The sequence below is a fragment of the Homo sapiens genome, chromosome 15 (assembly GCF_000001405.40).
Source record: "Homo sapiens chromosome 15, GRCh38.p14 Primary Assembly".
Classification (NCBI taxonomy): Eukaryota; Metazoa; Chordata; class Mammalia; order Primates; family Hominidae; genus Homo; species Homo sapiens.
Window position 1 is genome coordinate 25,789,554 of NC_000015.10, and position 24,941 is coordinate 25,814,494.

Here is a 24,941-nt window from a genome sequence, read left to right on the forward strand (position 1 = left end):
ACCAATAAAGAAGTGTGTGTGTGTGTGTGTGTGTGTGTGACAGAGACAGAGAGAAAATAATTTTACATCACTTAAAAAAGACCAAACAAGACTCTAAAATTATCGCAGATTTCATATACACTCATTATACATCAGGCAGAGAAGTAGAAAGCCCAGAATGCCAGCAACAATAGCTTTCAAAGGTTTCTCCGCCATCAGCGCTGTTGAGATTTGGGGCTGGATATCCTTGATGGTGGACAGCTCTGGGCTCTGCACTTTGCTGAGCACCATCCCCAGCCTCCTCCTATAGATGCCAGTAGGGCTCCCTCCCTACAAGTTGTTACAACCTAAAACAGCTCCAAACATTGTCAAATGCCTCCTGGGGGTGCAAAATCGCTCCCGGTTGAGAAATGCTGCTTTAAAACACCCAGGACAAAGATTCTGGAAAATGGATTATTAAGTAAATGTTTACAGAACCAATGTATTTTTAAAATCATGAAGGTGAGAACTCAGCACTGAAACAGCAATGGCAAAATCCGCAGTGGGAACGTGAGCCAAGTATGTTGCATAACGCCCAGAATGTGTCTTCCTTCCACCATAAACTGAAACATCTGCTCCTTCAGTGAGACATGCTAATGGATTCTGAATCTAATACTAAAAGTGAGAGGCAGTGAGAAATGATAGTTGGAGTGCTTTTTCTGGAGTGAATCTTCTGATACCAAAATTGCCAAAAATACAGTAGTGTAGACTAGATGCACAAAATGTATTTTCTGAACTACTTTCTATTCTGTATGTCTCCTCGAGGTGATGTGAGCTCTAAGAAATGTCCCAGATGTGTGGAAGCACATGTGTGCATGGAGCAGACTGCTCAAATGAGTCAAGCTGAATGGAAAATACTGGTCGCTCTGTGGTAAGTCAGAAAGGGCTGAATGTTGTCCCAGCGGAACTCACCCCCAGAGGGCAGGGCCTCTGGCCTCTTTTTAGAATGAAGAAAGGATGCAGAGTCTCTCAGCCCAGAGAAAGTGACACACCATGCTATGCTCACATCACATAATTACTCACTACAATGCAACACTGAACACCCAGATTAAATCTATTTTCCCCAGGAAACACTAGTTTGCGAAAGCAAAACGATGCCTAAACACAGTATCACTTACAAACCTCTTAGTAAGTTTTAACATGAAACTTTTTTTCTGACAAATCATTTCTACTGTGGCCTTTTCTGCATATAATGGTACATTCTCAAAGTATCTTAGTAGACCTCAAGACATCTCAATAATACTGCCCACTAGTAATGGATGTAAAACACTCCGGGGCACTTCTAGAGTTTTCAAGGTAATTTCTTATGCATTAATTCATTCATTGGTATGACAATCCCAGGAAATGGGCCGGAGTTGTGCGCTCCTTATTCCTACGGAGAAGTTTTGCATTGTAAATATTTTTTCCTAAGAGGCTGTAACAATTCACACTCCTCCGTCAGTATCTAAGAGTCTCCAGGCCCTTTTTTCTGCAAAACCAGCTGCTTCGTCTTTTTAAAACCTCCCTGCAAGTGTTTTTTTTTTTTTTTTTCAAGACCCTTGCTCTGTCGCCCAGGCTGGAGTGCAGTGGCACGATCTCGACTCACTGCAACCTCCGGCTTCTGGGTTCAGCAATTCTCCTGCCTCAGCCTCCCCAGTAGCTGGGATTACAGGCGTGCCCCACCACACTTGGCTAGGGCAGGACATCTACTTTTCTTTTAATGTGCATCTCCCTGCCACCCAGACCACTTGGCAGGCTCCTCTGTGAATTAACTCTGCATGTTTCCCCTTCAATCTTTCTTTTTTTCTTCTTCTTCTGATTTATTTAGTTAGAGTCAGGGTTTCACTCTGCTGCCCGTGCTGGAGTGCAGTGGCACAATCTAGCTTACTGCAGTGGCACAATCACAGCTCACTGCAGCCTCGACCTCCTGGGCTCAAGCAATCTTCCCACCTTGGCCTCTGGAGTAGCTGGGAGTAGCTAACATGCACCACCTGCCCAACAGTTTTTTAACTTGGTTGTAGAGACGGAGTCTTGCTATGTTGCCCAGGGTGGTCTCAAACTCCTGGGCTCCAGCAATTCTCCCGCCTCAGTCTCCCAAAGCACTGTGATTACAGGTGTGAGCCACCGTGCCTGGCCTCCCTCACTTTTTCTATTGTATTCTTTCCTCTCTTCTTGACCACGAAACCTGTGAGAGCATTCATATTGAAAATATTAACCCCTTTTCTGTCTTTTGCTTTGGAAATATTTTTCTCTAAGAGCCATGGTTTGTCGGTTTTAACATTTCTAGTTGTAGCATAATTTTGTTATATAATCCTTTCAGATGTTTATATAGGTAAATATATCTGACTTCTCCAGGCCTGGCTAAGACAGTCACCTATGTCCCTGTATTATACATGTTGTTTCCAAGTATTGCTTGTTTGTTTTTTGTGGGAGGAGTGCAGAGTATTTTTTTTTTAAAACAAACATTTAAATGGTCAAACCAACTGATGTTCATTTTCCTCTGTTACGACCTGAGCATCCAATGCTGCTTCTTCCAGACAGCCAATTGTGTCAATATTGCTAACTAGTTCTTTTCCCACTGAACCTACATACCCACTCTGTTACAGATAATATCATTTGATTTGGGCTTATTAGGTTCCATTAATCTACTTGTCCTTTCTCATGTCAACCCCACATGGCATGGTAGTACAGTATGTTGGATCAGTGCCACCATTAGCTTCAGCGCTGAGAGGAGTCTTCATGCAAAGGTACCTGCTCAGGGTGGAGCCCAGAGACAGGGCCCTGGGCCAGCACACTGGGGAGGTCCTGCTCTGCTCTCTGCAAAGACAGTGGCCACCAGCCCTCCCCCTGCCCCAGCCAGTCTGAGGTCCCATAGCCACCAGGAGGGCTTAGGCGGGATGCCCCAAAGCCTCAACAAACACCCATGCAGGTCATTTGTCATAGAAAAGGGGGCCAACCCCAGACCCACGTGGGTGACAGATGTTGCATGTATTTAAATGACCCTGCAAATGCTCCCGGGGGTTAGATGGCCTACTGCAGCCTCTATGTGGATGTCCAACCCCAACCCCCCAAGCACTGGCCTGGTGAGGGTGAGGCCCGCGTTTAGAATTCAGATCTTAGAGCACGAAGCACGCACTGCACCAGGCACCTCCAGAGTGTTAATTCACCTCCAGGAGACTTGTTTGGAATGTCAATTTTGTTGCTTTGAGTTCCATCTCCCCTGCCAGGGCAGGGCTCTCATCGCTGAGACCATCTTTACCTGCACAACTTCACCTGCAGCCCCAGTTCCAATATCTGTTACAAAAAGTTGCTCCTTTTCAATCTTTTTTTTTTTTTTGAGATGGAGTTTTGCTCTCGTTCCCCAGGCTGGAGTGCAGTGGTGCGATCCTGACTCACCGCAACCTCCACCTCCCAGGTTCAAGCAATTCTCCTGCCTCAGCCTCCCGAGTAGCTGGGACTACAGGCATGCGCCACCATGCCCAGCTAATTTTTGTATTTTTAGTAGAGACAGGGTTTCTCCATGTTGGTCAGGCTGGTCTCGAACTCCCGACCTCAGGTGATCCACCCACCTCGGCCTCCCAAAGTGCTGGGATTACAGGCATGAGCCACTGCACCTGGCCTCAATCTTATTTTTAAGACTGTCTTGGCTCATTTGGAGGCATCATAAATGTTAAGGCCATTTTATTCAATTCCAAGAGAAGCCTCCAGATAGAAATGCATGCAGCTCTTGGGAGAATGAGCACTGCAATCATACCTGCTCTTCCCATCCCACCCAGGGCCCTGGGAGATGCTGCAGTGCCTCATGCACACTTACACCCTTTAAAAAGATATCGCCACTTTCTTCATAAAGCTCCTAAGCCTCTTGTTAAGTTTCTGAGTACTGTGCAGTTTTTGTTCCTATTTTTGTAGACCACCTTCCCCACTTCCCCTTCTAAGTGCTCATTGTGCTCCCTGAGTGATTATAAGTAGTTCTCTGTAAGTGGCCACAGGTCTTCCCCAGCAGCTCCACTTCGCTGGGTGTGAGTTCTGTTTGTCCAAACCCTCTTCCGCTCCCTGGCAGCCAGGACCCTGCGGATGAGTGGTTACTATTTTGGTTAGCATAGCATGCTTGGGTCAGCTTTCTAAAGTGATGGCAGATCCCTTTCTTAGAAAAGGTGAAGTGGCCTCCCAAGAGTTGTGGGCACATAACTTCCCCCAATCCTCCCTCAGAAGCAAGGGAAAATCAGCCTGGGGAACCAGGGCATCCAGTCGCCTTTGCATGCACAGTTGACCTCTTTTCCACTGGAGGCCCCCAGACCTCTGCAAGCCCAAGTTTCCTCCAAGATGCTCTGCTCTGTGGGACTCACCCCAGGGTTCTCCGATGCCCCACCAGTGCTGTCTAGGGACCCAGGGAACCCAAGTCCTGCCCCAGATGCCCAGGGATACAGCAGCTACCTCATTCAGGATGTGTATGGGAGGGAGAGAAGGGTTTTGTCCAGGACACCATTTCCCCAGAGTCCCCTGATTCCTCTAAATCAGAATTCTGAAGATGAAAAGGCTTCACTGATTATAAGGTCCCTCTCTCTCATTTTTCATTATGAGGGGATTAAAAGCCAGACAGGCAGATTGATTTTCTCACTCATGTGAAGGTGGCAGCCTGGGTCAAAGCCCTCAGATGTGCCTTTCCCTGAGGCTTCTCTTGCAACAACTTACTGAAAGCACTCACCCTCCGATCAGTCCCTTACTAACATCACCCTGCCCAGAGGCTGGCTTCTCCTACCACGCAGAATTAAAAATCACAAAGCAACCTCTTTAATAAATAAATAAATATAAGAAGCAAAAAAAAAATCTCTGGAAATATCTCCAAAAAATATCACAATATTTCTCCATAACATATTTACTGCAAATATCCCTAAATTGTAATGGGCTACAGAGTATGATCAGTAAAGTACCTTAAGCAAACAAACACTGCCCCGTCTTGGAAGATCCAGCCCTGGGAATAGAGGGGACTTTAACACATGGATCAAAATATACCATGGAGACATGATTTCCCTGGGCACAGTGTGCAGTGACCTAAGACACCTTTGTGAATCCCGGCTTGGAAGCCGACGTCAATTTTCCCAGTCAAGCATCAACAGCAGCAGTGCCCTCGCGAAACTGACTTTACCCGGTAATATTCCGAGAATGGATAACAAGGCTGAAACGCAGAACTAACTACAAACTGAGTTTTCCTCCTTGGGTAAAATACAGTGAGAAGGGCCATGCAGATGGTCATCTTCTCTGGAGGCCACACACGTGGATTCCACAAAGGCCATTGCAGGGTCATTGTCACCAGTCAGTCTTGGCAGTGTCCCTGGAAGGTGTGCCATTCCCATTATCAGGATGAAGAGGGGGTTGAGTCAACGTCCAAAGACTCACAGCTGGAGGTCGGAACAGCAGCTCTAAGGAAGGCCCAAAACTCAACTGGCTCATACCTCCCAATTTTAGAGTATTTGGGAGATAGGAAGTGCTGAGAAATGGGCATTGCTAAATCACAGTGGTTCTCTCCTATCTTTATTTAGGAAAAACAATTGTTTTTTCTTTGGGAAAATTGTGTAGGTTACAACTGGCTATATCCCAGGTATCTTATGTGACCGCGCAAGCATACAACAATGAGCAGCGCCCCCTTCTGAGGGACTGAATCAGCCAGGGCATCCCCACCTTCTCAGCCACACAGCCCACAGCCACACAGCCCAGCCCACAGGACACCACCGTCCACGTGACTAAGACACAGGCCCACGGAGGGAGGGCCTGCGCCAACTTGGCACCTCCAGTCCGATGTTTAACATCTAATGAATGGCGACCTTGGGCTTTCCCTGCCACCTGCTGAGAAGAGAGAGTGACAGCCTCTTCCCTACACTCTGCCCAATGATTTGAGATTGAATACCTTTCCTATTGTAAATAGGAACAAGAACTGTTTTAACATTTTTGGATTTCTGATGAAGGGAATAACAACCTAATGCCACAGAATGAGCTCTGATTTTGGTTTTAGTCATATGTTATGACACTTATGCTTACTAGTAGGGGTACTTGCTTTCCCAAAGTGTGCCAGACAGGTACTAGCACTAAGACATCTGTCTGGAAGTATTTCTTTAGATATCATTTTATTCCTTCACTCTGCAGTCCTGTGTAATAATACACACTGGGAAAATTTTGACATGTGCTATAGTGTGGATGTTTGTCCCCTCCAGACCTCTGCTGAAGACCGATCCCCAGCGTTAGAGGTGGGGCCTCATGGGAGGTGTCTGGGTCGTGGGGGTGGATCCCACATGGATAGATGATTGCCCTGGGGGTGTAGGGGATGTGCGAGAGTTCTGGCTCTATTAGTTCCTGTGAGAGCTGGTTGTTAAAAAGAGCCTGGCACCCCCCTCCTCACCCCTGTGATTCTGCTCGCCTCTCCCTTCCCCTATGAGAGGAAGCAGCTGAGGCTCTCACCAGATGCAGATGCTGGTGCCATGCTTCCTGTACAGCCTGCAGAACCGTGAGCCAAATAAATCTCTTTTCTTTGTAAATTATCCAGCCTCAAATATTCCTTTATAGCAACACAAAACGAACAGGGACAACATGTGAAAATAGTTTGTTTCAGGGCTAGGCGTGGTGGTTCACATCTGTAATCCCAGCACTTTGGGAGGCCACGGTGGGAGGAGTTCGAGACTAGCCTGAGCTCTATAAAAAACAGAAACAAAATTAGCCAGGTGTGGTGGTGTACCCCTGTGGTCCCAGCTACTTGGGAGGCTGAGGCAGGAGGATTGCTTCAGCCCAGGAGGTTGAGGCTGCAGTGAGCCACAATAGCACCACTACACTTCAGCCTGAACAAAAGAGCGAGACCCTGTCTCAAAAAAAAAGTAGTTTGTTTCAGAGCTTATAAATATGAGTGTGGCACTGGCCTCTTTAATGCACACTGCCATGGTCTAATTATGGCCTGTGTGCATGCATGCAGCAATGCCCGAGCAGCTGGAGTTGGAAAAGAAGCCTCCGTTCATGCACAAACGTGGTACTCATGAGTCATCGGGGAGCTGCTAGCCCACCTCACAACGTGGCTTCTTCCCACCCACACTGGGGGACCTTCTCCCATAGTCATGGACCCTCCACAGGTGAGGCAGACATCGTCAGAGCCACATGTGTCCTGGGCAGGTGCTACCTGCCTGGAACCTGCCGGATATCCCTCTGGGATGGGTCAACTAGGCCACAGGACAATGTGACACTTGACAGAAGGTGGTGACAGCCGTAATTTGAGCTGGCCTTGTAGAGGCCTTCCTCCTTCCGTAGCTTTGGAGATGTTTAAAAAATTTAAATTTTAATTGCCAAATAATAATTGTATATAGTATGAGGCACAATGTCATGTTTTGATACATGTATACACTGTGGTATGGTTAAATCAAACCATTAACATCTCACATACCGATCTTTTTTTCTGATGAGAACATTTAAAATCTACTTGTTAGCAATTTTGAAATACACATTGCTATTAACTATGGTCACTGTGCTGTACAACAGATCCTAAAACGACTCCTCCTGTCTAAGGGAAACTTTGTATCCTTTGACCAAAATCCCCCCAAGTCCCTTCCAACCTCTGGTAACCCCCATTCTACTCTGCTTCTATGAATTCAACATTTTTAGGTTCCACGCGTACGGGAGATCATGCAGTGTTTGTCTCTGTGTGGCTGGCTTATTTCACTGAACATAATGTTCTCCAGGTTCATCTGTGCTGTTGCAAGTTCTAGTAAGTTGGAAATGTAATTTTTTCAGAAAAGAATTCACAAAGTACATGTCTTTGTGAATAAGGACTCCTCAGTGGCTTGAGGACAGGCTAGCCCCCTCAGAGAGAGTCCCCTGAGGCCAGTGCCATGGTGGCTGCCCTGGCCCCTGGCCCCTGCCCCCACCCCACCCTTTCAGAGGTTCTGTGCTCCCTTGAACTCAATTCTTCCTGACTTTCTGCCACACTTTTCCATTTTGTGCTAGGTTTTCTCTTAGAAATTACAGACTCTCTACATACGGAGACATGACACGCTCTGGGCTCCAGGTGCCAGTGCTGCAGGTCTGGAGGGGGCTCAGTGGATCCTTGGGCCCCTCCTCGGGGGACAGCCATCCAAGAAGGGCAGCCCAGCTCCACAGCACGCAGATCCTTCTCTGTCACCAAGGTCAGAGCTGGGACTCCTCTGGCTGCCACTCTTTTGGGGCAGGCACATCACCAGGAGACTGCCGCCCTGGGGGGTGAGGGTGGGGAGAGAGACCTTCAGCTCTGCCTTTACCCTCCACGTGCCAGCACAGCCATGCTACCCGATCTCACCCTGGGCTGGCTCCTCGTCTATGTCATATCCTCCAGGGACATCTACAGGGATTAAACTGAAAGTGTGTTACCCAGAGAGCACAATAAGAAGTTGTCCAAGGAGAGAGTTAAATGTAAGACTTCTGTGTTGTTATAGACTTCATTTTAAGCTTCTTAAAAATATAACCCTTGCAAAATTCGTCAGGGTCACAAATCTGGAATCCGGCCTAGTTAACTGGAAGAGGGAGGGAGGCCCTGGGTTGCATTCAGCCAGCTACTCCCATCACTGGAGTTAAGGAGCTCCTCAGCTTCACTGACATAGGCAGTCTCAGCAATGAGAGCCCTGCCCTGGCAGGTGAGATGGACCCCAAAGCAACAATATCAAAACTCCAAACAAGTCTCCTGGAGGCGAATCAACACTCTGGAGGCACCTGGTGCAGTGTGCGCTTCATGCTATAAGGTCTGAATTCTACATACAGGCCGCACCTTCCCCAAGCCAGTGCTGGGAGGCGTGGGGGAAACCAGTGCCTGTCCAGCCCTCCCCCTGCCCCAGGCAGTCTGAAGTCCCATAGCCACCAGGAGGGCTCAGGCGGGAATCCTAAAGCCTCAGCAGACACCCACGCAAGTCCATTTGTCATAGATAAGGGGGCCGAAGCCCAGATTCATCTGGGTGACAGATGTTGTGTGTAATTAAATGACCCTGCAATAGCTCCTGGGGGCTTAGACAGCCTACTGCAGCCTCTACGTGGATGTCCAACCAAATGGCCAGGGCGGCACAAGGCAGCAAAGATTCAAGTCCACAGAGAAGGCACGCTCTTTTCCTGCGGGCACTGTGCCGGACTCCCATCTGGTGAAACAGCGCCCAGGTCTCCACGGCTGAGTGAACTGGGCAATCCTCAGACACTGAGAGGGAGAACAAACTGCAGACCGTGGGGCAAAACCGATTCTGTGATTCTGTTGGAGCTGCCTGACAGCTGTGCCCGTGTCCCTTCACTCCTCCTCGGGAGGGCACCGTGCGCCTCCCGCATCCACCAGCCCGGTACAGGGATCCCACTCGGAGGCCCCCGACTGGCTTGAGTGGTTTACTCTGTGTCCCCTATAGAAGAAACAAACTCCCCCGTCCTCATGTAACGGAGGCTATGTGACTTTAAAAAACAAACCATAAGGTGCCTGTTTGGCCCCTCCCTTTCTCTGTGCCTTTCCTTCCTCTTCCCATGCCTGCTTGCCCGCAGTTATTTTGGTACAGGGGCATCACTAGTCATCGATGACTTCACATCCTAACTCGGGGGCCATCCGAATGGTTACGGAACTTGTTTTTCTTTCAAAAAACAATGATCCTTCGGTCACACAGACTTCCCTGATGGTGTCTGGTTTGACTGGCCCAGAAAGGTGAGCAGCTTTCATCCTGGGCTCTCCCCTCTCACATCCCTGCCTTCCTCATAAAAACCCCCGTTATGTCCAAACGCAGGTCGGATTTGGGAGCTCGTCTCTCCCGGCCTCACATTTCTTGCTCCTGAGCGCTGATGTGTTGGGTGCTCAAATGTAGCTTCTGGGAATTTACAGCCTCTAAAGGCTGGCACTACAAACTCAGGGGTGGGCAGCCCGGCCCAAGCACCCTAAACTCAGAGATGAACCAAAATGGTGTTCAGCAAAATTCCTCACTAAGAATAAAAACAAAACAAACAGACAAAAAAACAAAGTTAAACTAAATAACATTCATTGGCATGTTCCACAAAGAAATAAAATTCAAGACAGGCATGGAAGTGCACGCCTGTGGTCCCAGCTACTCGGGAGGCTGAGGTGGAGGATCGCTTGAGCCCAGGAGGTCGCGGCTGCAGTGAGCTGTGATCACGTCACTGCACCCCAGCCTAAGTGACAGAGCAGGACCCTGTCTCAAAATAAATAAATAGAAGTAAAATTCAACAAACCCAAAGTACATATAGCTTCAGGGCATCACTGTGAGGGAATCCAGTCCAAACACATCAATTTATAATGAAGTATTTATCAACTGGTACATTTATAAATTAGGTAAAAGTTCTGGAATACAATGTATCTCTTCCTGGCCAACAACAACAACAAACCCAGAAAACCCAACAGAGTGGAAACAATTCTTCACTAATAGGAATTATTGATGGATACCTCCAACTCCTTCTCAGTCTCAGGAATTCTAAAGAAGGAGGAAAAGCGACAAAGAACCTTGTCATTAGACACCAAACTCGCCTGGGGGCCAGGGTGAGGCAGGAGAGGAGCTCACATCAAGTGCAAAACGCAAGGGTGCACGCAACAGCTCAGGGATCAGGATGAACGCTATTTTAATGCAATATCTTTTACAAAACAAAAGGAGTGAACAAATATCCCTGAGGAAGAAACATTGACATTTAAAATAAAGACAGAATCGGCATTGCTGAGTTTTCTTTGGCTGCAGGTTCCCGTAGGGCTTCAGTGAGTTTTCTATGTCCTGGACAAGATAAGCCGCTTCCCTTGCTCTCCTTGGCCCACCCCACACCAACTGAACACCCCAAGAACCATTTCCTTCCTTCTCTGATATCCGCCTGTCCCCTGCTCCTGCCTCCCCAGGGGACACAGCACAGATTTCTGCCTCCCAAGTGCCTCTCCTCTCCTGCCTGAGTTCTCACCTGCCCTCCCCTTGTGACCCAGCGGTTGCAGCTGGGAGCTGACCACGCTCCTTCACTCCACGCGTGCCTGCTGGGCGCTGCTGCTCCCTGGCACTGTTCCACCGTGCACCTTCCCGGAAGAAGCTACATTCTGACACGGCAATTTCAAATGGGGCAAAGTGAGTTTACGGAGGTACAAGCACCAGGAGGAAACACGAACACTTGAAGATGTTCATGCAAACTCAGCTTAGCTTTGTGTGGAAAGGTCTGTTCAGCCCCCACTCTGGGGGCCCCTGAGGCTTCCCACCTACCCTAATTTCAAAAGCTGGTGCTCACAGTAACTATTTTAACCATGTCTTTCTGACTTCATTTCATCTATTATTTTTTGGTTTAACTTTATTACCAATATTACAACGACATCAGGAACCGAGTTCCCATAGAAGTCAAGCCTGTCTCTGTCACATCTTCCTGGTGTTTGATGAACCCGCTGTACTAGATGCTGACGCTGCTCCTGGCTCACTGTCATGGGGTTTGGTAAGTCTGCTCCAGATGAAGGGAAAATATGTTTTCCTTTTACAAAACTAAAAGAGAAAGACCTTTGGGGTGACAGCCTCTCCTCTGCAGAGGAGAGCAGTTAGGTGCACAAGGGGTATCCCAAGGCTGGTTGTGGGGTCTATGCCCCCATGTGTATTAACCCACAGGCTGTCCTGTGCATGCTGGAATTTGAGGACATGTGCTCCAAATGCCCAAGGCCACTCAGCCAGCATCACCTCGAGGCCCAGGGAGAGCTGATGCAGGTGTCCAGGGGCCCTTCCACTGCACTTGGGTTCGGGGCATGAGGTGGACCAGCAGAGAAGAGGAGCGAGGGGTGGGAGCCAGACCCCCAGGGTTACACTGCACCAGCACTTAAGAGTTCACAGCCAATCACGGCTCTGAGCCTCAGCATCCCCATCTGCAATGTGGGGATAACACTGGCAATGCCTGTGTGGCAGGTGGTAGTCAGGGGGACTATGTTAAGGTGCATGCAGCGCTTAGCATCCTGCGTCAGGCAGAGCACTGAGAATGAGGGCGGACGAGAGTCCTGGGGGCAGGTGCGATGCTCACTCCTGGTCAACTCTTGGGCAGCCAATGGCCACTACGCTGAGACTTCAATTTGCTAAGCATGTTACAGTGGTTTAATCCGGTGTGGGACAGCTTCGCTTCAGGAAAAACACACTTTCCAGCTTTCTCAAGCCCCGTGACGCTGATGTGTCTCTGACTTGCCTGGCCTGCTCTGGCTTTGCTCAGCACTGCTGGGCAGGAATGGCATCACAGCCCACCTGCTGGAAGGCCCCCGTGCCAGTCTCTGAACCCCAATGGATGTATCTGACAGCATACAAAAGCCCCATGTCCCTAAACCTCCCCAGTTGCTGACTCGTTACATGGATAACAGATCCAGGCGGTGAACAGCTGGCCACCTGCACCCTACAGAAGGCTCCACACCTCCCTGTGTTCCAGAGCCGAGGATCTCATCAACTCCTTTATGTTAACGCGGAGAACACGAGATCTGCAGGACAAGGGCATGTGGCCTACTTGGGTTTCAGCACCAAATACAAAGCCATCTTTGTTCTCCCAAGAGCCTTTTAAAATAATTTTCCTGTGTTGACTCGGTAAAATGTTGCTTTTGGGCCAAAACTCTATTTGGGAACTCTCCGTCTGGACGCTTTTCTTCTTAGAACAGAACAGAAATTGGGCAGAGTGCACCGTGGAAACACGTGCGTGTGCCTGCGCCGCAGCACAGACCGAGCTGTTCTCAACGTCGGAATCTCAGCCCGAGGCTGTGGCACCCAGCTTCAGTCCTTGCAAACCTTGAGGACCATGTTCCTCAGCACCTCCCACTGCAGGCTTTTTGTTGATAAACGTCCAGCAGGTTCTCTCAGGCCCGTGAGCCTCCCTGTTGTAGGCTGGGGCTACCCAGACCTTGCGTGTTGTGTTCCGACCACTAGGCCCATGAACTCGCTTCCTGGGGCTGCAGTAACAGGTCACCACAAACCTAGTGGCTGAAAACCACACACGTTTATGATGTTATCGTTCTGTAGGTCAGAATTCCAACACAGGGCCCACTCAGCTAAGGTGTCGGCAGGGCCACGCTCCTTCCTGGAGTCTCAGCGGAGAGTATGCTTCCCTGCCTCTCCTGGTTTCTGCAGGCTACCTGCATGCCTCAGCTCACGGCCGGCCGCCTTCTCTGTCTTGAAAGCCAGCAATGGTGGCAAGTCTTGCGCACTGGGCCACCGGCACTCTGGTTCCCTCATCTGACACTTTCTTCCACCTTAAGGACCTTGTGATTACACTGGGCCCACCCAGATGATCCAGGAGAATCTATCTCGAGGTCACTGAGAAGCTCCTGACTTCCCCTTTGCCCTACAACCTAAAACATCCATCAGTTCCGAGGATTCGGATGTACACATCTGTGGGGGTCATTAATCTGCCTAAAACAAATCATGAACAGAATTTAGGTGAAACTGCATTTTACATATGAGGGTGTGGCCAACACCAGTAGGGCTGCTGTTTTAGGGGTTTTGCCTAGAACCTAGTTTCCTCCAGGTGCTCTTATGGCCAAGGGCTGAGTCTTTGTGAGGTGAGATAATTCCTGGCAAATCCGGGTCACGAGGACACAGCCACATCTCACCCCGGGATGTAGCAATCTCGGCACCTGCGAGGAGGGAGACGGGTAATAAGCAGACAGCTGGCCAGTGACACTGGTCTGTGCTGGTGCCTCCTTCCCTGTCTCGGGCACTTCCGCCACACCGTCCCCTCCAATACCTGAATGATGCTTCGCCCACTGGGCTCCTCCATTCATGCATTCATGCGTTCATTCAGGAAACATCTGTTGGTTCTGCTGAGCACACACCAGGTGCTAAGGATACAGTGGGGCACAGGGTGGGCACTGCCCATGTCACATGTCCCCTGGGTGCTGGGACATTTTCTCTCCTGCTTCTCAGGTACAAGGACTGAATGGCTAGGACAACTCGCCCTCTACCAAGAGCTTTGCAAAGTGACAGAACTGAAATGAGGAGCCCAAGTTGCTCTGTCTGTGTGAATCCGTATGAACCAGGGGCAGCTTCATCCCCAGATGCAGCCTCAAGTGGGCCAGTCCTGTCCTACTCCCAAGTATCCATCACTAACACTTGTTCTACACACGTATACATTCCCCAGGATCCAAGGCCTGTGGTCATCCTGCTTGCACTTCCGGGACAGCCCACAGTGGGCACTCCGGCAGGGCCTGTGGAACTGAACAGTGGATTCAGAAAATCTGAGAATGACACCCAGTCTTTACCATGATGGACAACTCGCAAACCTCCGTGGGCCTCGGCTTCTCTGAGTGTAACCGGGAGCCGCTGCTGCCCTCCCAGGCACAGACTCCCATCACCTCTCCTGGCACGCACGTGCTGCTGCTGGTCTGCCTGTGTATTGCTTCACCCCAAGACACATGTGTGTGAGGTATTCACATGAGTGTGTGTGTGTAATTGTGCTTAGTGTGTGATGTGAGGTGTTTGTGATGTGAGGCTGTGTTTGTCAGTATGCAGCATGGTGTGTGTGTGCATCTGTGTGTGTGTCCATATGTGTGGTGTGTCTACGTGCATGGTGTGTGTGTGTGTGTGTGTGTGGTGCATGCCTGTGAGTGTGCGGTGTGTGTGTGAGGTGTAATTGTGCTTAGTGTGTGATGTGAGGTGTTTGTGATGTGAGGCTGTGTTTGTATGTAGCTTGGTATGTGTGTGCATCTGTGTGTGTGTCTATATGTGTGATGTGTGTGTCTATGTGCATGGTGTGTGTGTGGTTATGGATGTGAGTGTGTGGTGTGTGAGTGTTCGTGTGTGTCTAATTGTGCTTAGTGTGTGATATGAGGTGTTTATGATGTGACGCTGTGTTTGTGAGTACATAGCATGGTGTGTGTGAGTGCATATGCGGGTAGGGGTGTGTGTGCATCTGCGTGTGTATGTGTGGTGTGTGTGTCTGTGTGCATGGTGTGTGTGTGGTGTATGTATGTGTGTGGTGTGTGTCTGTGTGTGTGTGACGTGTGTGTACATGCATGAATGAGCACATATGGCTAAACACGGAAAGGACAAATGACAGGCAGTGGAGTAGAGTGGAAAGAGCTGAGGCCTTAAACAGGTGGCCAGGTCCAGGTCCAGGTCCACCCGGCCACCCACTCCACACAGGTGCCTGGAAAAGCATCTCACTCCTGTGAGCTGAACCCAAGGCGTCTCATCTGTGAAATGCGGTAACGACAGTAGGCCAGTCACCTCTCAGCACAGTCTTTAAGAATCGAATGAGAATTCTTCCAGCACAAAGTAGGCCTTTGCTGAATATTTAACATATTTCAAATAAGTGTTTGTTGAATAGTTGAAAAAATTGATATGAAAGTTCTTTTAGAAGTAAAAAATAAAATATGATAGAAATGTGAGAAATTTTAAACATTGGCATTTTAGATTTACTTAAATTATAATAAAGCCTGGGTAGGTGGAGGCTCTTCGTTTGGAAAACAGAAAGGCGGGTGTGGAGGAAAAGGAAAAATTCTTTTGAAATAAAAGGCGCATTGCCAGAATGGGACCTGTGGCAGCCATGGTGAGCGGACGGGCCATCACACGGGCATTCTTCCAGGAGAAGCCAGTCCAGCATCCACACACGGGGCCCCGGCAGCCTATGGGACCCCTGTCTGCCACGTGTAGAGAAGCTGCACCCAGTGATCCTTCTCAAGTTTGTTTTTGAATGACTGGCTGGATCCGGGTGACTCACTGTGTGCCAGGAGCCCACGCTGGTCTGTGGCAGCCGGTCCCTCCAAGGGACTGGAGCCACGCCACCAGCCACACAATTCCAAGTTCCTTCACTGTGCCTACGGGTCTCGATCCAGGAAAAGAGATGCTGCCTTCATTGTTGAAAAAAGGTCCTTTGCCACAATGAATTTTTTCAATGGCAGCACTTAGCAATGTATGTACCCACTCACTGCAGCACACTTTACACGCGTCCTTATTTTTGTGCTATCTCTGAGTGAGAACAGAAATGAATTGGCTACTTATATATTTTGATGGGGAACTGAATGCACTAAAATCTAAGTAGGTCTCAGATAAAAGTCACAGTCTTCAGCCAAACAAACGCAGGTCTCATTCCTCTCTGGCACTTCCTGGGCCCTCAGATTGGAGGGGTGTGTCTGTCTTACATGGGAAGAACATGAAGAAATGCTGAATCCATATGTGAAACACAAAGGCTGTGCTATTTTTTTCCCCCAAAATTAAGTCTAGGGAATGCCAAACACTTTATAATTGGCTTTGTGAAAACAAGGTCTTGCCTTTACTTTAAAAAAAGAAAAGAAAAAGTAAACCTGTAATTCCCACAATTCCCAAACAGAGACTAAAGGAAAATGTATTTTGAAATCAAAGATGGCAGGCACATCTGCCATTTATTTGGAATAGTTTTCCCAAGCCATTTACCTTAATGATTATAAGCAGCCCCTTACAACCTTGAGAAGAAACAGAAAACTGCCAAATTTTTAGCACTTTTTATTTTCTAATGCAGAAAATTAAATATCCTTTTGGTCATGCATCAAACAAGTGATTTTTTCATTCATTCCACGTACTACATGAAACAGCCACAATTACACAGGTCCATATACATGTGGTTTTTTTCTAACAAAAGTTACACCAAGTGTGCCTGGCTCTCCTGCCTCCCCTTCCACCTCCTCCACCTCTCTGCCACCCTGAGGCAGCAAGATGCCCTCCACTTCCTCCTCAGCACGCTCAACATCAAGATGACGAGAATGAAGATCTGTATGATGATCCACTTCCACTTAATGCATAGTAAATGTATTTCCTCTGCCTTAAGATTTTCTTTTCTTTTCTTTGAGATGGAGTCTTGCTCTGTCGCCCAGGCTGGAGTGCAGTGGCACGATCTCTGCTCACTGCAAGCTCTGCCTCCCAGGTTCACGCCATTCTCCTGCCTCAGCCTCCCGAATACCTGGGACTATAGGCGCCTGCCACCACGCCCAGCTAATTTTTTGTATTTTTAGTAGAGACGGGGTTTCACGGTGTTAGCCAGGATGGTCTCGATCTCCTGACCTCGTGATCCGCCCGCCTCAGCCTCCCAAAGTGCTGGGATTACAGGTGTGAGCCACCGCACCCAGCCAAGATTTTCTTAATAACATGTTCTTTTCTCTAGCTTACTTTACTGTAATAACACAGTATATAATGCATCTAACGTACAAAATATGAGTTAATCGACTGTTTATGTGATTGGTAATGCTTCCGGTCAACAGTAAGCTATCAGCAGTTAAGTTTCAGGGACTCAAAAGTCAAACACAGGTTTTCGGCTGTGCAGGGAGTTAAAGGTTAACACCCTTAAGCATTTTCAAAAGTCAGCTGTACATTTACTTCTCTTCCTCTCCACCATAAATGTTGACTTACTTCAAACTATAACTCCTTCCCTTTCTCCAGAAACTGAAGGGAATGTATTTTTCTCTAGTATGTGGAGATCACACCATTGTGACCTCAGCTTACGCTTCCACTCACACGTGTGTTTCCATCAAACGGAGGGGCATCCACCGGGCTGGAAAGAGCAGCTTTGGAGGAGCAATAACAGAGCACAAGCGCAAGGAGTGAGAAGTTCATGGCTTTTAAGGAATGGCTGTGATGGCTGTGAGATGAGGAAAACATCCTTCACTCTTTTCTCCCCTGGTGGCATCCTTACGTTTTTCAAGCATCTGCTCCAATGTCATCCACTCTCCTACCTGGAGCACCACTGGCTGCTCGACCCTGTCCTGAGCACCCCACCCCAGGCAGGTGGGGCAGCCAGCAGGGTGGCCCCCCACCAGCCCAGGGGCCTTCCTGCCCACCCTTCTGCGGCTAGGGGCTGGCTTCAGGCCATCTGCCTCTGTGTCCAGCCACAGGGGCCTCAAGATATATTAAAGTGAGCTTCGCTAGCTCAATGAATGAAGGCTTTGAAAGTTCTTGTGACGACAGCTGAACACTCCCTGTGAAATAACAATTTTAAATGAAGTTGTCATTCACCAAATATTTTTAAAAGAAAAACACATGGGGCTGGGTGTGGTGGCTCACACCTGTAATCCCAGCACTTTGGGAGGCCAAGGCGGGCAGATCACCTGAGGTCAAGAGTTCGAGACCAGCCTGGCCAACATGGTGAAACCCCGCCTCTATGAAAAATACAAAATTAGCTGGGCATGGTGGTGCACACCTGTAATCCCAGCTACTCGGGAGTCTGAGGCAGGAGAATTGCTTGAATCTGGGAGGCAGAGGTTGCAGTGAGCTGAGATGGCACCACCGCACTCCAGCCTGGGTGACAAGAGTGAAACTCCATCCCCCCGGCCAAAAAAAAGAAAAAGAAAAAAAAAACCCAACATGTATTGGTGACAACCGGGGCTCTGAAATAACTTCCTTATGAATTCTGCAGCTGTTTTGTAGTGGAGGTGAAGGTCAATTGAACGATTTCTTTGAGGAAGACCACAGTAGAACATACCAGTAGGAAAAAAAAAACAATAAGCAATCATGAAAGAATATTTAAAGTTAAATCTGTCATATTTACTTTTCAAAAGTGACACACGTATCACTGGCTGATAGAACACACCTCGAGATTTAACTCTTTGTTTTCATGCTGGACGTAATAAACGTCCTTAATTTTGCAATATGAAAACAGCATTGCCATGAATCTTCCCTGTTCCTCAAGGTTATTTTCTGGGTCTAAGGCTTGTTCTCATTGTTGCATTTGTCTTTTGTCAAGGTCTCATCATGGGTTTACTATCCTGCAGGGAATTTTAGATTAAGCAGCTGGCCATAAATTAATGGTCACATGAGGAAGAGCAAGGAAGGATTACCTCAACACAAGTCACAACAGCTCTCATAGAAACATGCTCCAGTTTACCTCATTTTGCAGGTGTGAGAACAGTTTTGTTTTGTTTTTTGAGATAAGAGTTTTGCTCTTGTTTCCCAGACTGGAGTGCAATGGCACAATCTCGGCTCACTGCAATCTCCGCCTCCTGGGTTCAAGCTATTCTGCTTCCTCAGCCTCCGGAGCAGCTGGGATTACAGGCATGCGCCACCACGCCTGGCTAATTTTGTATTTTTCCTAGAGATGGGGTTTCTCCATGTTGGTCAGGATGGTCTCGAACTCCCAACCTCAGGTGATCCACCCGCCTCGGACTCCCCAAGTTCTGGGATTACAAGCGTGAGCCACAGTGCCTGGCTGAGAACAGTTTTATAAGTAACTACTGATTCCCAACTCAGGTATTTTTACCCCACTCTTTTCCCCCATTGGGTGGCTGACCTGGATCTATATTATCTTTGTGCCAGTATACCAACTTTATGCCAAATGCCATACATTCTTTGAGGGAACCTGGAGCAGCTCCTTGAGTGAGGTGGGATTTGAGTTTAGGATTAGAGGGTGGGGAAGGTGGACAGGCATTAACACTAGAGCAAGGTTCCCCAGGCTTTGAGGGAAGACTGGACGTAGTTGGGAGGGTGTGATGCTCTCACTGCGTGGCCACGAGATGAAGGTGGGGCATGTGGAGAAGCCAGGTACAGGCAGTAAGGGTCTAATGGAAGAGGGGCCACAGGGTTGGGAGAGGGGACATGATGCTTAAGTGAGAATGTCCCTCTTGTGTCCCTGAAACCTGAGCCCTGCAGATGCTTCCTGAAGGATGGAAGAGTCTACACTGTGGGTCAGGGCTCCCCAGTGGCCGCAGATGGGATGAAGCCACCACCAGAAAGAGCCCAACTGAGTGTGGGGTGGGGTGGGCCCTGCAGGATGTCACATGAAGAGCCCATGAGATGGGAGAGAGGAGCATACGTCGGGCGGGGTGAGACATGACCCAGGCATGCACTCCCCAAACCTTCAGACACGGCTTACTGCATGGTGGAGGAATGGAGAACATGCATTTTACTCTGATTTTCTCTAAGGAATAAATTTTATTTTAAAATCACAGAGAAGGAAAAAATCAAATGGAGTATCAAACCTTAATTTAAGAAATCCATCTGCTTCATCAAAAATTTGCTGTGAGCTTTTAAGAATAAACAGGGCAAATTTACTTTATTCAAGAATGATATTCTTTTTGTAAAGCCTATCTTCAAAGTAATACATTATTCAATTTCTGCTTTAAACCCTTCGTTTTTATTCATTTTCCTTTTCTTCTTGAGAAAATCTCAAACTCACTCATGGTTCCATATATGTACTACGTGCCTGAGAACAGTGCTGTTCCCCACAGACGGGCTGGGAAGGCAGGAAGACAACCCCACTCCTGCATTTAATCTCTCGTCTCCAGCAACATACTGTAACTTAAGCACGGGAAGATCCTAAAACACATGACAGGTGAGGAAGGGACTGGAGACACCTAGTCCTGTTTCCCACAACCTTCATTTTCAGTTCCACCTTGGACCGCTGCTGCCTGGGTCACCCATGAAGAAGTGGCCTGCCCTGGTAGTCACAGGTTCCAAGTCGCCCAAGCTGGAGAGCTACAAGCACTTCCAGAAAATCTGGGACATGCATGGTGAACCATCCAAACGGGAAGAAGGTCATTACAAAAAAAAAAAAAATGACGGAACGTCCATAGTGGAACCTAGTCTTACACATTAGGCTCATCACCTAGCAACTAGAACCCTTGCTGAGGGTTTCCACATCACTTCCTGATCACTCCCAGTGACCCACAGTGGGGACGTGTTGGGGAGATGATGGATGCGGGGCTAGAGCAGGAAAACCATTCTCATGCTCCTCATTTCCCCCCAGACCTTCTAATAAGATCTGCTGTCAGAAAGCCCAAGGGCCTGGCTTAAGATCCCCTAACGTTCCCTGTCCCTGGTCACCCGAGAGGGCAGAGCCCACAGGGAGGACAGCTCTGTGAGTCACCTACCGGGACCAAGCCCTAGGTACCTGCACCGCTCAGCTGTCACCACTGCTTATCAGCAGTTCCAGCCCAGCCCGAGGTTCTTATGGTTCCTTTAAATCTGAGGATGTCCTAGGAATGGGCATCATGTGTTTAGTTGCTTATTTTCCAAGTGTAGCAGTGCCACTGGGACTCTGGGCACGGGGACTGTTTTGCAAAAGTTGAAAACACACACGGGTAAAAGCCGGTCAAAGAAAGCAGTAGCCAAACTAAAGTCAGGTTATATATCCACCAGGGCTTTACCTCATACCTGCCTACAAAAGGCACAAGATCAACAAGGCCTGTTTGTACCACGGTCTGAAAAACGAGCCAGCACCGCCCTGGGCAGGACGAGGAGCCCAGGGCTGCCCAGGTTCTAAAAGTAAAAGCCTCCCACGGAAAATAGCACGCCAGGGATTCCAACACGAGGAATCGAGGTGGTTAGTGACTCATTTTCAGAGCCAGGAAGGTGAGGTGCAGCCAAGACCCAAGCACCATCAACTACGTCTGACAGCTAAGAGGAGGGCAGCCGAGATCCTCAGGTGTAACCACAGCCTTACAAAGGCACACAAAGCCAGGACGGTCTGATCTGAGAGTCAGCAGAAGCCTAGCTTTACATATAATGAAGCTGGGGCTGGAAGGAGGCGGGAGGATCATGTTACATGGCGGGGTCTCCCCCAGATGACCTTAAGGGCAGCTTGGCAGGAATTTTACTTCCTTGCATTGATTAAAGCCCATGAACAGCCTTAAGTCCCCAGACAAAATAGCAAAACAGGTCCTGGACGATTCAGCGCGAGGTGGGACACAACAGGGAGGGAGAAGTCAGTATCCAGGGGCACTGCCCGGACCCAGAAGGCGGAGGCTGGGATGTCCCCAGCAGAAACGGACTTCCCTGGACTCCAGCAGGCTCTCTGCGGATAAGGGATTGGAGTGAGTGAGAGGAAAGAGGAGGACAGAGGCAAACTTTTCTTTCTGCCCAGTTCTAGGCCATCAAGGGAGTGAAGGATCCCCAAAGACATAAGGCAGAGCTGGGAGAAGAAAGGAGAGGAGGAAACAAAAAAAGGAACAAGAAGTAAGGATGAGGAGACAAAACAAATGGCATGGAACATGCTAGAAGCCTTCCAATGACTTCCCCATGTGGAAACTGCACACCCGGGCATCCCTCCCGGCTTTCTGTGGATGGGCCCATCCAACGCAGCTCTTGTTAGAGGAGTGCACACTCCCCTCTACTATTTGGTAAGTGTTTGTAGCAAGACCAGTGCATAGGTGGGACGTGATCTGAAAGTTTACAAGAAGGAAGTGAAAAACCACTTGTGAGATTGTGGGGAGAAAACGCTGGGAGCCCAGAGACACCACAGGCGTCAAGAGTCCAGGGACCATGCATGGTGGTTTATCAGTGGCAAGGAGACCAAGGTTTGACCCAGCCTGACCTCGTAGCACTTCCTCGTCCAGATGGATGTGGGCTTGTCCTCCCATCACGCACCTGTCCAAGCTGGCTGCACCTGCATGGACTGCTCTCCACTCTGCAAGGGCCAACACAGCTCACACCCACCCCGATGCCAGAGGAAACCGAGGCACACGGCTGGAAGCTGCCAGTGGGCAAAGCGCTCCAGCCCCAGCTGGTGCAGAAGCATCACGGAGAGACTGCTATGGCTCTCACCCAGCGCACGCTCCCCGTTCCACCCTACATGGCGCAAACACGCTCCCCTAAAATGGAGTGAACGTTTATAGCGGCAAAGATGGCAGCCAGGGTTTGGGTTTGGCACTCTAAGAAACTGACGCCTTGGAGTTAAATCAACCAAAATGACTTTTAGTTTAGTTTTTTTGTTGCTAACAGTTTCCTTAGTTTCTGACTTTTCTCTGGTGAAGAGCACAGTATCAATCACACTTCAAAATAACAAGTCAGGAAACAGGAACCTCTCACTCAGATCCTCACCCTGTTAAAAAGACTTTTGTAGTTTGGATATCATGACCTGTACTAAGTACAAAGCTCTATTTGTTTCTACTTTGTAACACAGAGTGTTATGTTCTATGGTTGCTACACAATCACTTTGAGGAAACATTACTATAAAAATAAATAAGTTTCTTTTTTCATTCAAAGCGAGGGAAAATAACAAGGACGCCCTAAATACACCCACAAACCTTTTCCAAGAACACTTGCATTTGTTCCTGAGCTGGTAAGAATGCTTTGCTGATGATATCAAAGCCCTTTAATTTATCTACAATCGACCTGACTTAAACACAAAGGAAAAAATACTCATTTTGTTCTACTTTAAATTAAAACAAGCTATTTTTGTTGTTGTTGTTACTGGGCTGTCTCTGTTTTTCTCTGAACGCAGGGGAATACAGTATTCTGAAGCACTGCATGATTATTCTCTCTTGGCTGTGGAAGGGTGGCCAAGCACACTATTGATCTCTGAGTGGGATTGTTAGAAGGACAAAGTGTGATTTCACTTTGAAAGTGATTACAAACCTCTACTTCTCACTAAGATAGAATAAAAGTGCAGTGCAGGATTTACTCTTCTGCATCAAATAAGTAAGAAATGCATGTTAAGAAATGATTTTTAGACACAGGAATGAAGGACAATTATCCTATAATAAGGCAAAACAAGGTGAGCTCTCTGTCCCAGTTCATCATCTGAGGAGCCAGGCAGAGCCTGCAGGCGCCCTGAATGGAGCCCCACGGAGACACGGGCAGATGAAGTTTGTAAGGCAGTGCCCCAGAAGGAGAGCTCTAGTTGTCTCTGGAGGGTACCCTTGAGATTGTGGCTGAGGCTTGATCAGTACATGCATGTGAGGAGACTTCCCCAAGTTCAGGGAAAGACCCAATGGTAAAAGCAAAGGAAAGTTTATCTGGAGCTCACCAAGATCCAGGAATAGTCCTTGATCTCACCAGTTAAGGTAGAAATTCACAGGTCATCAGGTAGAGTAATCTGATGGGTATTATCTCAGCGCTAGGGGAAAATGCCTGGATTAAAGGCTGCTTTGATCCCAACTAAGAAAGGTTAAAAGTAAGCCTCCACAGGGCCCACCTGTTCTGAGTAACTTCTCTGCATCCTAGAACAAAGCTCAAGAATATTTATATGAACATAAAAATGTCCAGCACTTTGTAAGGTGAAATTCACAATGTTAGATTTCCAGTGAAAAAAAGCAGGCATGCAAAGAAGCAGAAAAACACAACCTACAACAAAGCATCAATCAATAGAAAAAGATCCAGGAATGGCAGTGATGATAAAAGGAATAGACAGCAGATAAAACACTTGTGAAATATCCCTGTGTCCAAGAAGCTAGAGGAAAGATTAAGTTACATAGAGACATGGAATGGATTAAAAAATAAAATTTTTTAAGATCCAAATTGAACTTCTAGAGTTGAAAACTACAATGTCTCAGATGAAAAACCCACTGATGGGATTAATGACAGATTAGACATCACGAAAGAAAAAAAAGTTAGTGAACTTAAAGACAAACCAATAGAAGCTATCCAATATGAAACAGACTTTTTTTTTTAAAGATAAGGAAATGAAAAGTACATCAGTAATCTATGGGACAACTTCTAGTAGCCTAATCTATCTGTAAATTCAAGTTTGGGGGGCGGTGGGAAACAGAGAAACATGCTTAAAGAAATAATGATCAAAATGTTTCCACATTTACTGAAAACCATACAGCCACAGATTCAAAACACTCAGTAAACCCCAAGCACAGGAAACAAGAAGAAAACTACACCCAGGCTCACCATATTCAAATTGCTTAAAATCAATGATAGGAAAAATCTTGAAAACTGAGAAAAAAATATTAATACCTTATATATACAGAGAAGTAAAGGTAAGAACTATAACAAATGTCCCATTGGAAACAATGAAGCAAAAAGACAGAGGAGCATCATATGTCAGGAAGTGAAAGAAAACTGCCCGCCTAGAACTCTGCACTGGTGCAAATGTATTTTAAAAACGTAGGAAAAATAAAGACTTGCTCAGACTTAAACAAAGACATTCATCATGGGCAGACCTGTACCATGGCAAATGTTCAACGAAGTCCTTCAGGCAGAAGGAAAATGATGCCAGACAAAATCTGCGTGTACACAAGGAATGAAACTCACCAGAAATGGCAAAGATGCCCCTCTGCCTGGTTCCACCAATGATGT

At 47.8% G+C, this 24,941-nt stretch overlaps 1 protein-coding gene across 8 annotated transcripts in view, besides 4 other annotated features; it reads right to left on the reverse strand.

The window, feature by feature from the left end:
* The window catches only part of ATP10A (ATPase phospholipid transporting 10A (putative)), a 192,852-nt gene that overhangs the window by 117,317 nt on the left and 50,594 nt on the right, over positions 1–24,941 (reverse strand). The gene's annotated exons all lie outside the window — the stretch shown is intronic.
* Positions 744–843: an enhancer, noted in NCBI's record as "active region_9163". NCBI's record gives its function as "activates an Ori minimal core promoter by ATAC-STARR-seq in GM12878 lymphoblastoid cells {active_cell/tissue: GM12878}" and the evidence as "EXISTENCE:reporter gene assay evidence [ECO:0000049][PMID:35858748]".
* Positions 12,624–12,757: a silencer, noted in NCBI's record as "fragment chr15:26047324-26047457 (GRCh37/hg19 assembly coordinates)". NCBI's record gives its function as "represses an EF-1alpha promoter that drives an FKBP-Casp9 reporter gene in an ReSE screen in phorbol 12-myristate 13-acetate-treated (for megakaryocytic differentiation) K562 erythroleukemia cells {active_cell/tissue: K562(+PMA)}" and the evidence as "EXISTENCE:reporter gene assay evidence [ECO:0000049][PMID:32094911]".
* Positions 12,965–13,464: an enhancer, noted in NCBI's record as "H3K4me1 hESC enhancer chr15:26047665-26048164 (GRCh37/hg19 assembly coordinates)". NCBI's record gives its function as "activates a minimal SCP1, AML or CMV promoter by ChIP-STARR-seq in primed H9 embryonic stem cells {active_cell/tissue: H9 hESC(primed)}" and the evidence as "EXISTENCE:reporter gene assay evidence [ECO:0000049][PMID:30033119]".
* Positions 21,872–22,372: an enhancer, noted in NCBI's record as "H3K4me1 hESC enhancer chr15:26056572-26057072 (GRCh37/hg19 assembly coordinates)". NCBI's record gives its function as "activates a minimal SCP1, AML or CMV promoter by ChIP-STARR-seq in naive H9 embryonic stem cells {active_cell/tissue: H9 hESC(naive)}" and the evidence as "EXISTENCE:reporter gene assay evidence [ECO:0000049][PMID:30033119]".